This window comes from Homo sapiens, chromosome X (assembly GCF_000001405.40).
Source record: "Homo sapiens chromosome X, GRCh38.p14 Primary Assembly".
Lineage (NCBI taxonomy): Eukaryota > Metazoa > Chordata > Mammalia > Primates > Hominidae > Homo > Homo sapiens.
Window position 1 is genome coordinate 140456824 of NC_000023.11, and position 13321 is coordinate 140470144.

Consider the following 13321-nt stretch of genomic DNA (forward strand, 5'->3'; position numbering starts at 1 on the left):
CATTTATTACCTATTTCCCATGATTGCTTTCACACTGCAATGGCAGTGTTGAGTAGTTGCAAAAGAGACCATGTGGCCTACAAAGCCTAAAATATTTGTTTTCTACTCCCCTAATAGGAAAATTTGGCCAACCCATGCACTAGATGGTTGTCTGTAATTTAAAATGTTCTAGCACATTTAAAGTTGCTGAACAGGAATCTAAAATAAGCTTAGCTATATTTGTTGCCTTGATTTGTTTGCTTATAGTCAACTGTAAGCAGATGTGGCATAAACTAATAATTGGGCATTTCTTGAAAGCAGCCGAAAGTGCTTGCTTCCCTGTGAGCCTTTACTAATGCAGTCCCCTCTGCCTGGAATGTCCAACCCCACCCCACCCTCTCTCTTTTTTTCCTGTCTATTTCCTGTCAGTTTTCAGAATTCTACCTAATTCAAGCCCTGTTTGTTAAGCCTTCCCTCACCCCAGACCCCAGGCAAAAGGAACATTTCTCTCCTCTAGTTTCCAGAGCTCATGTTAAAGTCCTCTACCATGGCAGGCTCACATGAATTGTTGGTCCATCTACTCCACTATGAACTCTGCAGGGGCAGTAGCAATGTTGCATTTATTTCCATAACCTAGCCTTATAAGACTCAGTCATTTGTTAAATCTAGGCTCGTCTTTTCCCTAAGTGATTTCCCTAAGCTTGTCCCCACATTGCACACCTCATTACTTGCCTCTTGGCTTCTACTCTTACCCTCTCTAGTCTGCAGTGAGAGTGAACTTCCCTCAGGATAAATCAGGTCATTTCACTCCTCTGTTCAAAACCCTACTCTAGCTTATACTTGGAATAAAATCAAAAGGTCTACTATAGCCTGCAGGGCCCTGCATGACCTGATTCCTTGCCTGTCTCTCCACCATCATATACCTCTTACTGCTCTTTCCCATGCAAGCTGGATTCCAGGGACACTGACTTCTTTGCAGTTCCTCAAACACTCCAAGCATGCTTCTGCCTCAGGATCTTTGCATTTACTATTCCATCTTCTTGGAATACTCTTCCCCAGGTAGTTACATAGCTTGCCCCCTTACTTCATTCAACTTACCGCTCTGATATCACCTCCTCAAAGAGGCCTTCATTCTTGGAAGAAACAAAATAGCCCTTTTTGTCACTGTCTGTTCTCTTAAATTTATATTGCTTCATAGCCCTTATTACTTCCCATTAAATTTATTTGTTTACCTGCCTTCCTCAGCAGAATACAAACTCTATGAGGTTAAGAACACTGTCTTGTTTGCTGTTCTCTCTCTCTCTCTAGCGTTTGAAACAGGGCCTGGCGTCTAGTAGAGGCCCAATTACCATCTGTTGAATACAAATGAATGGAAGTCTGTTGATTCTGGCATAAGCACCGCACTGTTTTCATCATTTAAGTGTTATAATGTGTACTAATATTACTTTGTAATGAATATGAAAGTCTGTTTAGAAAGGCATGGGTTTTAAGAGGAGACAGATATTGGTTCAAATTCTGGCTCTATCAGGTGGTAGTTGCATGGCCTCGGTCAAGTGGTTTGACCTCTCTGGGCCTTAATTTCCTTGGAGTTAATCAGGGGATAATCATCCCCTCCACACAGGGTTATTATAAGGAATAAATGAGATAATACACGTATTGTGAAATTGTTTTTAGAGACAGGGTCTCGCTCTGTTGCCCAGGCTGGAGCACAGTGATGGCTCACTGCAGCCTCAAACTCCTGGGCTCAAGCATTCCTCCTTCCTCAGCCTCCTGAGTAGCTGAGACTGCAGGTACCTTCCACCATGCCCAGCTAATTTATTTTACTTTATTTTTTTTGTAGAGATGGGGTCTCGCTTTCTGGTTCAGGCTGTTCACAAACTCCTGACTTCCAAAACTCCTCCTGCCTCAACCTCCCAAAGTGCTGGGATTACAGTGATAAGCCACCATGCCCAACCATATTTTGAAATGTTTTTTAGGCAAATTATAACATATTATAAATAGTATAACCTCATTTGTTAAATTATGTGTTTCTGTTTTTAAAAATGTCTGCAAGGGTATAGCCCAAAATGTTGACAATGGTCATCAGTGGTAAGCTTGGGAGTGATTTTTATTATCTTCTTTACACTTCTGTAATTTTGTATTTGTTTTTCTTTTCACAACAAAGTACATGCTTCAATTGGCAGTGGCAAGAAGCCACTTTTATTTTGAGAAAATAAAATGCAAATAAGAGTGTACCCTTTCCACCACACTGTGTTACCCATCTACTATGGCACTCAGGCACTGATAAAATCTTGATGAGTAGGTTGGCAGGGGAGGGTGGCCAGGAAAGAGGGCCAGCAATAACTAGGAATAGAATTGGGGAATAACTCAGTTCGTTATCTTTTCTACACCATTCTCCTTGCTTAGTCAGGTTGGTAAGAGGGACACTGAGCCTCAGTTTCCTTGTCAATATCCATACTTCTGAATAGTGTGGAGATGAAATGAGGTAATTTTCCCATAGCCAAGAGAGTGTATAGGGGTTAAGAGCACAGCTCTGGAGTAGTTAGCATGAGTTTGGATCCTAAATTCCTCATTACTAACTGATGACCTTATACTTTTTGAACCTGTTTCCTCACTCCAAAATAGGGGGAATAATTTGGACCTGGAAAATTTCCTGTGAGGACTCAAGGAGCACATGGCCTGCTGAAATCCATGAACTACTAGACTGCCTCTATTCACCTGATGTCCTGCTTTTCACCCAGCCTCTTCACCGCAGCCTTTATGATGGAGAATAGAGGAGGAGGAGGGACACAGAGCCTCTTCTAACTCCAGCCACATTTACCTGGGCCTTGTTTCTAGGCAGTGGAAAGCCAGGAAGGAGAGTCAAGAAAGGTACAGATGAGTCATCAATTCCCTTTGTGCTGCTAGAACAAGTGTCAGAGGGAAGCCATGTACCTGTCTGCCCATTGACACTCAGACAACCATTGTACTATAAGAAGCACTTGGCTGCCTGACAAAGAATGGAAAATAAACATGGCAAGGCCAAGATGTCCAAGATGAGTCAACTGGGCAGTGGTGGCAGGAGAGCAACAATGAAGAGTCCTAGCGTTTTGCACAGCTTGGTAAGCATCTGGCCCCAGAGCTTATTAGGATGAGTACTGTGTCCCCGCAAACACCAGCACTCCAGCCCAGTGGATGCCTAGAACTATTCATCAAGATGAAGTGGGTTTTATTATTATGGATATTGTTAGCCACAAAACACAAAAGATGCAGAGGAGGAATGATTACTATGTTCCTCTTTTATGATATTCAATGGTTTGAGTCATGATAAGGAGGTCATCAGGATGAGAGTGGGTATCTCCCACCCCTTTCCTTTCTTTTGTAACAGAATATTGAATTGAACCCTGCAGTATGCTGGGCCCCAGGGATGCAGAGATGACGCACTGCATGCCCTGCCTTGGAGAAGAAGTCAAGTGGTGAAACCAGGCAAGTGCCATGCCATTAGAGTGCCCTGTGGTCAAGATGTACTCCAAAAGGATCTGAGACTAAATATCAGTGTGTGAGCAGCTCTACTTCCTACTGGAGGCACAAGCTGGTTCCTAAAGGATGACAAGGCACTTGCCCAGGGCAAAGGCCTTGAAATAGGTGGCCAGCAAGTGACAACTGGGTCATGGCAACCCAAATGTGTCCAGATGCCAGGAGAGGCTTAGTCAAATACAAGTCGGCATACAAATTGAGTGTCCTCTTTGAAGCTTAGAGCAGTTGAGCAGTTAGGGTAAATCTTCTTAACTTGAGGCATGCAAGGCCCTACAGATCCCCTCTCCTCGCATCTGGCTCCAGTCACCCTTTCCAACCTCATTGCCATTACTGGCTCCTATCCTACCCTCTACCCACTTCACTAAACACACCCTGTATTTTCCTGCCTTTGTGCCTTTCCAGGTACAGTCTGATCACCCAGAGTCCTCTTCTCCATCTCTGCCTCTGGTAGAGTCCAGTCAATCAATTAAGGTCAAATTCCTCCTCCAATAGACCCGACCCTTGGGGCATATCCACCATCTCTACCCACATGCCACCAGAAAGAATCAATCTCTCCTTCCCTTTTGTGCCCAGAACACTTAGTACCTCTGTTAAGAACTTGACACAACCTGCCTTGTGTAGCCAAATGGTTAAGAACACAAGCTGTGGTTTCAAGAGAGCAGACTTAGAAACACCACCTGTGTGACCTCGGGTAAATTTACTAACCATTCGAGCCCTCAGTGTCATGATCTGTATAATGAGAATGATAATAGTGTCTACTTACTGGAGTTATTTTTAGGATTATATGAGATAATGCATCTAAAGCATAGTGCCTGACACATAATAAGCATTCAATAAATTGTAGCTCATTTTGTTATATGGCCATGTTGTCCCCAACTTAAATTGTGAGCCACTAGAGATCAGGGACTATTGTTAATAGTATTATATTGTTACTGACTCTTTTTTCAGTTTGGTGACCAGTATATAGTAGGTGCTTGATAAAGATTGATAAGATCCTCTTGAATCATTGCCTTGAAGATACTGGGGTATTTCTGGAGTACTTCAAAGTTTGGGTTTATGATCTAGGATGTACCATAACCCTAAAAGCATAAGACCCATATAGCCTTCTGAATAGCCTTCTGAATTGGGGGAAACCCTTGAGAGTTGAGCTGGTATGGGCATATATTTGATAGGGCTTTTTTTCTCAGGCCATGTCAGACCAGTGAAATACTTGGGGCATGCTATAGTCTGAATATTTGTGTCTCCCCAAATTCATAGGTTGATATCCTAACCCCCAAGATGATGGTATTAGGAAGTGGAGCCTTTGGGAGATGATTGGGTTATAAGGGTAGAACCCTCATGAATGAGATTAGTGCCTTTATAAAGGAGGACCAAGATAGATTCCTTGCTCCTATTGCCATGTGAGGTTAGTGTGAAAAGACAGCTATCTATGAGTTAGAAAATGGACCCTCACCAGACACTAAATCTGCTGGCTTCTTGATCTTCAACTTGCCAGCCTCCAGAACTGTAAGCAATAAATTTCTGTTGTTTATAAGCTACCCAGTCTATGGTATTTTATCAGCCTGAAGGGACTAAGACAGGGTATGCAAGTCTATGATTCTCTAGAGCAGTCATGTGAAGTGCCTATGAGAAGGTTTTAAAGGAACACTCTAGACACCTAGAGAAAGAAAAGAGCCACTGAGATCTGCTGGGAGCAGCTGAAGGAACCACTGGGGAGAGAGCAGCAAAGGAAGAGCAGCCCCATCCTTCTGCCAAGAAGGTGATCTTGTTGAGGAGTTGGGTCGGGGCTGGTGCTGGTGTTATTTTAAATACGAGCTGAGTTTCTCAATGGGTCTGTACTGGGAGAAGCAGAGACAAACAGGGGAGGGAACAGCCACTGCCATGTGTTGTGGCTAGTCACATTATTATTATGACTATTATTATTAATTATTATTATTATTATTATTATTATTATTATTTGAGACAGAGTTTCTCTCTTTTTGCCCCAGGTGGAGTGCAATGGTGCGATCTTGGCTCACTGCAACCTCCACCTCCTGGGTTCAAGTGATTCTCCTGCCTCAGCCTCCCAAGTAGCTGGGATTACAGGTACATGCCATTACGCCCGTCTAATTTTGTATTTTTAGTAAAGACAGAGTTTCACCATATTGGCCAGGATGGTCTCAAACTCCTGACCTCAGGCGATCCACCCACCTCAGCCTTCCAAAGTGCTGGGATTCCAGGCATGAGCCCTGGCCCCAGCTCATGATGATGATGATGATGATGATGATGATTATTATTATTATTATTATTATTATTATTATTACATATTTTTTGAGACAGAGTCTCGCTCTGTCACCAGGCTGGAGTGCAGTGGTGCGATCTCGGCCCACTGCAGCCTCTGCCTCCCCAGTTCAAGCAATACTCCTGCCTCAGCCTCCTGAGTAGCTGGGACTACAGGCATGCACCACCACGCCCAGCTACTTTTTGTATTCTTAGTTGAGACAGGGTTTCACCATGTTGGCCAGGCTGGTCTCAATCTCTTGACCTCGTGATCCACACACCTCAGCCTCCCAAAGTGCTGGGATTACAAGTGTGAGCCACTGCGCCCAGCCTCATTTTTTTATTAGATTTGAACTACCCTGGCATAGACTTTATGTACTGTTCTTAGCTCTGATGCCATCTTACTTCCCCATCCTGGTTTTATCTCTGCCTCTGCTTTGCCGTCTGGTTATTTTCCCTCTCCTGTTGAAGGTGATATATTTCTTCAAACCACCACAAATCAACTTGGGCATGAGGTAAGGCATAAATAAATCATCTTTTTAAAAAAACATACATTCTCATTTGATACTCAAAACAATCCTGTGACAGATACGCTGATCCTCTGAGAGTATGAGATTTGTGCAAAATCAAAAAGATTGTAAATATCTTCTAGGTCCAAGTTTGGTACACTTTCCACTAACAAACAACCAACCTGTTGAGCCCTGACTATGTGCCAGACACTGGGTGAGGGGTTGAAGATTGAAAATTGACTTGGTGCCAAGCACATTATCTCAGTTCTGTGAGGACAGTGTTGCCATCAACCCTGAATTACAGGTGAGGAATTTGAGGCTAACCACAGTTAGGTGACTTGATGTGGTCGTACAGCAAAGCAAGTAACAGGTTCTGTCCCAGCCAGTGCTCCTTTCGCTCCCACCTAACAAAGGTAGGGAGCTCACTGATGAGAGTGTTAGTTAGAGGCTACATCCTGCCATTCACTCAGTCTGCTGGTTTTCTAGTCCCATACGTCTGTAATCAAAACACTAAGAAGTACTAACATTCCTGGACCACCCGTCAGGTGCCAGGCATCATGCTAAATACTTAACTTTCATTATCTTGTCATCCTCTGAGGCAGGTACTATTTTATTCCCTTTTCTCACTTCATTCCCTCTCCCTGTGTACTCTCATCCACAGCCACAACTACAGTTAGTACCTATGCTCAAATGAATGACAAATGTTTATATCTAGACCAGACTTTTCTGAGCATTTCACACCACTATTTCCAATTGCTTACTTAATTTTTGTTCTTGAATTTATTTGTTCATCTATTCAACAAATATTCATTGATCACCTACTATATAAAAAGCATGATTCTAGATGTTGAAGATTATAGCAGCATAAAAATAGACAAGAATCCCTTTCTCTTGGAGCTTACATTCTGGTGGGGGAATCACAGTAAGGAAGAAAAAAATGGAAAATATCTAGATAATATGAAGAACTAAGGTGAAAAATAAAGCAGAGAAGAGGATATGAAATGTTGGAGTGGTGTTGAAATTGTAGATAGGATAGAGAGAGAAGGCCTCGCTGTTGTTGTAGTATTTGAATAAGGGAGGTGGAAGAGGTGAGAGAGGTAAGGGAAACCTCTAAAACACCTCAAACTCAATAGGACCAAAATCCAACCCGTGATTTTCTCCTTAGAACTTAATCCTTTTTCAGTGATCTCAATCTCAAGAAATGATCCCACCATCTGAGTTAGTTGAGGCAGAAACCTAGAAGCCATCCTCACTCTAAGCTCTTTCTCCCTTCCTCATACCCCTGCCAACATATCCAATCCATCAACAAGTTTTGTTGATTCTAGGCCATAACTATTTCTCTTGAGATAACACACTTTTCCCCCATCTCCATTATTACCATTGTGATCCAAGCCCATGTCATCTTTCACAGCAGCCAGAGTTAACCTTTTCCAAACTAAAATCTGGTAATGTTATCACCTCACTTAAGACTTACAATGGCATAACATTGCTCTTACTGGTAGGATGAAGACCAAACTGTTTCATGACCTGTACATAGTCTGACTCTAACCTCCTTCTCCAGTCTCCTTTCATACCAGTATTGCCCCCACTTCAAATACACATACCCACCCCCCACCCCACACACACTCTAGTCAAACTAGCTTTATTTTAGAATCTTAAATCAGTCATGTTCTTGCCAATATACATCCTGTTTACATGCTGTTCCTTCTTTCTGGAACGCCCTTCTTCACTTGTCTCAAGCCTGTCACTCTCACCTAGTTATCACCCCATTCAGAGAGCAGCCTTCCCTGACCTTCCTGACTCGGTCATGTTCTCCTGCTACAGGGTGTCATGACCCTGTGGATTTCCCCCTCCACACTTTCACAGATGCAATTTTACATCAAGTTTTGTGACTATTTGTTTAATGTCTACCTTCCCCACTGAACTGTAACTCCATGAGGACAGGGATCTATATGCTTATGATTGAAACCCCAGTGCCTAGAATAGTGCTTGGCACTTAAATAGGTGCTCAACAAATATTTGTTGAGTGAATGAATGAAAAAAATGAATGGGCCACAATTTCACAGATAAAACTGTGACTCAGAGAGGTAAAACACATTGCTCAAGGCCACATAATTGGTTAGTGACAGAGCAGGGACTTGAAATGAAATCTGTTGATTTCATTTCCCATGTTCTTTCTCCTGCCTTTTACATTTTATACTTTTAATTTCAGAAGTTTCATGTGAATACAGTCATGCAGTCCCCCAGGCTTTGTCCTTCCTAAGAAATACCACTGTTAACATTTTGGTATCTATGTTTCCAAGGCTCATTCTCTGTTTTAAAATATATATATATGTACACACACATACTCATGGATAAACATATTTTATTGGGTTTTGTATTTTAACATCAATGGAATCATACTAGGTGCATTCTTCTGATAGAATAATCTTTTATTAACATAACATTGTGCCTTTAGAGATCTTTTGTCAGTACATAAGCCTGGCACACTCCTGGCACACTCCTTTGCATATGTGAAGAGATGCTGAAACATTAAATAAATGATACATAAAATGCATGTGTCATTAAGTAATTCGTTTGTTATCAAAAGAGAGTAAGGTAACAACATTTTGGTGTAGTTCCTTTATTATTTGTCACTGTGCTACATTTTAGAAATCCACAGATGAGGAAGGCAGTTCTTGCCTGTATTCTGCCAGCATAGATAAAGCTAGGAGGAATGAGACAGCATGGTATACTTAGGGCAACAGAAGTAGCTCTGTGTTACCATAGCCTATAGTGCAAGGACAAATGTGAGAGACAAGGCTACGGACATAGGCAGGGGGTAGATTATGTAGAGCTTTATTTATAATGCTAAAGCACTGTGGCCCTTATCCTGATGGCACAGGGTACCATATAAGGATTACTGGTTAGGAATGCTTTAGCTGCAAGTAGCAGAAAATCTATTAATAATATATATTTTTTCTTAAATGTAATAAGTCTAAAGACAGGCAGTTGCTGGTTTTGCTTCAGAGGCTCAACAATGCTCTTAGAGCTGTGTTGGAAAGCCCATACAATTATGACACAGTTATAAGAAGTGCATTCAGAAAGGATCATGGTTTGAACTGGTTGAACTCATAGGACTGTATCTGCTGCCAGCTTCATCTTTTGGCCAGCCTCACCTGGCATTTGTATGTATGCCCTATCTGGGAGATTTAACATACTGCCAGGAAATGCCACTAGCCACCAAAAATGGAGGAATATAGTGGGGTCACAATCTCCATCTAGGCCTCAGGAAAAATAAAGTATTCATTATTTAACCTATGGATGATACCTTCCTAAACTACAAATATAAAAACAAATGTGGTCCAAAACATATTAAGAAGAAAGAGGAGGAGGAGGAGGAGGACAATAACAGCAATGACAGCAAGAACAAGGACAAGACATTGACAACTGGGAGTTCAGGCTCTGCCAAGATCTTCTTGATGCGAGGTGGTAGGAGACAGCTACTTCTTCCCACTCTTTCCTTATGTCTTCTGTCAGTTCAAAGAAGCCCAGGTAGTCATGAATCTGGACCTCCTCAGAGCATGAATCCTAGACTGAGTCCACAAGGGAAGTACCTGAAAAATGACTTTTTAGATGTGATTGGGGTAATTAGAATAATTGACAATGTCTCTTGACCTCTGTGAATAACTTAATTATATAATCATATATTCTTTGCCTGGCCACCCAAGAGCAAACTGGGACGGCCCCATATCTGTCCAACCCACAAGAAACAGGAGGTTGAATTGTTGGACCAAGCAGCATTTGAACCAGAATGTGGATGACGCAGACAAGGTATTCAAAGTCCTAAACTCTTTTCATCCCCAACTTCTACCTTTCTGTATTAAGGACACATAGAGATTTTTTTTAGTTGCCCTTGTATCAAAATCCAGAGGACAGGAAGGTAGTAGAGGCCATTTTTGTATTGAGAAATTAACTGCCTTTAAAACTATGGGGTTTTGTAAAGGACAAGCCCATCTCAGCCCTCTGCCCCATCTGCACATCTACCCCATTCATGTGTGACTAACAATTAGGACTTCTCAAAGTGATCTGTCCTATTTATATTAACCACCATTACTCTTTATTTTGGATGAACAGCCAAACCTTATGACTACCTGGAGGCTCTCGCTCACTATTTCGATAATGGCTTTCAAAAAAAAGACTCTCCGGAAGAAGTCTAAGTATCTATAATTTAAATAAGTGCCCCTGATTATTCTCATACGTAGTCATTGGAAACTACTGGCCTAGAGGTCATTAAGGAAAACCAAAAGACATCCTGTGGTACAAGGAAAGCTTCTCCCAGAAGGGATGACTCGCCAGGAAAACATCCAGGCATGAGACCAACTTGGTTCTATACCCACTTCTCTATCTACTCATTCATTCATGTAGCTGATCATCTAGCTAGAAACTATGATTTACAGAGTAGTTTAGGATAAGATTGAGTTCTGATGCAGGCTAATGAAGGAACTAACATATCTTAAGGAGGGGCATGATGTCATCAGATTCATTAAGTCACTCTCATTTCTTCTACTACCCCAAGCTCAAGGTTTTTCCTGGGTTTTCTCAGGGTCTTCAAGATGGTAAAACTTCTGTCGTCTTCCCTTAACTAAATGCATGTATAATATCAATGCATTTTCAAATATTTATTGAGCATTTACTATATGTGAGGTATTTTGCCTGTTTCCAGATATGTAGCAATGAACATGCTAGGCAAGAATGTTGATATCATAGAGACTTCCCTATTCCTTGCTTCCTACCCTGTGTTGCAGGCTTGAGGAAGGATCCTACAACCACAGCAGAATTTCAGGAGTAGAAGTCAGCCCTGGTACTTGGTACAGTCAATTTGCGGGTGATCAGAGGCGTACTTCTAGAAACCAACCTCTGACCTCACATGTTCTAGGATGATTTTTTTTTTAAGATGATATGGATAGCATGGCAGAGACTACTTGTTCCCCAATATTTCTTCACTCCTTCTTCCATAATAACAGAATCTTGAGCAAGTCACATGGCCACTCAGAATGGAGATTATATTTCCAGTCTCCATTGCAGAGTCAGGTTTAGCCATAAGACTAAGTTTTAGCCAGTGGGGTGTGAGCAGTAGTGGTGTGTGTGGTATGTGAGTTGTTACCTCTAATGGAAAAGACATTCCTTATCCTTCCCTTTTTCCCCTCCTCACTGGCTGGGTGTCATGGTAAGTCATCTTTGACCATACAGGTAGAGTAAGATTTTAGGGATGGCAGAGTATGATGGTAGAAGGAACTTGGGTTCCTGAATACTTCATTGAGCGGTGTTGCTGTACCGGCCCTGCACTACCTACCTCCTGATGGTTACATGAGAGAGAAAGCAACATTCATGTAGTTGAAGCCACTCTTATCTTGGATTTCTGTTACAGCAACAGAACCTATGTCCTAACTAATACTGTGTTCAATGAGAAACTCACTAATTACCAGAATGAGAATAGATTTAACAGGCTCATATAGGCAAAACCCATACAATATTGGGTTGAGGAATGTGGAAAAAGTGTGGAAGTAGAGATAGTAATTGTAGGCAACTCTTTCAAGGTCATCTGTAAAAAGAGGGACACTAAGGCATTAGCTATAGTGGATGTTGGGTGAAGAGAAGGCTATGGTTTTGGTGGAATGGTGATAAGAGAAATATGATCATGTTTCCAATATTATTGGAAGGCTCCAATAGAGAACAAGAAGTTAAAATACAGAAGAGGTGGCAAACATGGTGGCTCACGCCTGTAATCCCAGTACTTTGGGAGGCCAAGGCAGACAGATCACTTGAGGTCAGGGATTCGAGACCAGCCTCGCCAACATGACAAAACCCCAGCTCTACTAAAAATACAAAAGTTAGCTGGGCATGGTGGCGGGCACCTGTAATCTCAGCTACCAGTGAGGCTGAGGCAGGAGAATCAGTTGCAGTAGGTAGTACAGGTTACAGTAGGTAGTGCAGGTTATAGTGAGCCGAGATTACGCCTCTGCACTCCAGCTTGGGCGACAGAGGGAGACTCAGTCTCAAAAAAAAAAAAAATACAGAAATGGTGAGAGGAATCGATGGAAGCAACCCCTAATGGCTGGGCACACAGTAGCTGACACCTGTAATCCCAGCACTTTGAGAGACCCAGATGGGAGGATCACTTGAGCCCAGAAGTTCTAGATCAGCCTGGGCAACATAATGAGACCCCCATCTCTACAAAAAAGGAAAAAGAAAAATTAACTGGGTGTGGTGGCGCACACCTGTAACCCCACGGAAGGCTGAGGTGGAAGGACCACTTGAGTCTAGGAGGTCAAGGCTGCAGTGAGCCATGACCATGCCACTGCACTCCAGCCTGAGCAACAGAGTGAGACCCTGTGTCCACCTCCCTCAACACCCGGCTCAAAAAAAAAAGGAAAGAAACCCCTAAGGAGTCAGCAAGGATGAGATCCAAAACCCAGGGTGGAAAAGGGAAAGCTGGTTCTTCTGAGAAAGAAACAACAAGGAAAAGATGACTGTAGAAACAAGCAATGGCCAGGAATCTAAGGGAATTCCTCTGTGAAGGAGGAGGCAAAGCCATCTGCTGAGAGTGTAAGTAGGACATGGCTGTCAGTTCAGGGGCTTGCATTTGAGTACTGAGGTTTTGAGTTGTTGGGTAAGACAAGAAGGTGACTAAAAACAAAGAGGATTTCAGGCTGGAATTGTGGGCCCGGGTGGTTTTGCACTCTATGAGTCCACACAGTTGTATGATATTTATCTGGAAAAGATTAATTATAGAAAAAACAAAAATTTAAAGAGCGTAGACTATATAGGAGCAGAAGGCTTAAAAACCTAAGGGAGACCTTAACATAATGTGATAACATCACAGATGTTAAAAAACGGATAAAGGGTTAGAAAAGTGAAAGGAACTTCTCTCTAAAGATGCGACAGGCATTTATTCTCCCAGGCCAGGTGGAGTGCTGGGCTCTAACCAATACCATCTCATGTAACCCTCACCACAACACATGGAGATAGGGATGACTAGCTTCATTTTTCACATACGAGATGGAGTCAGGTCAGGT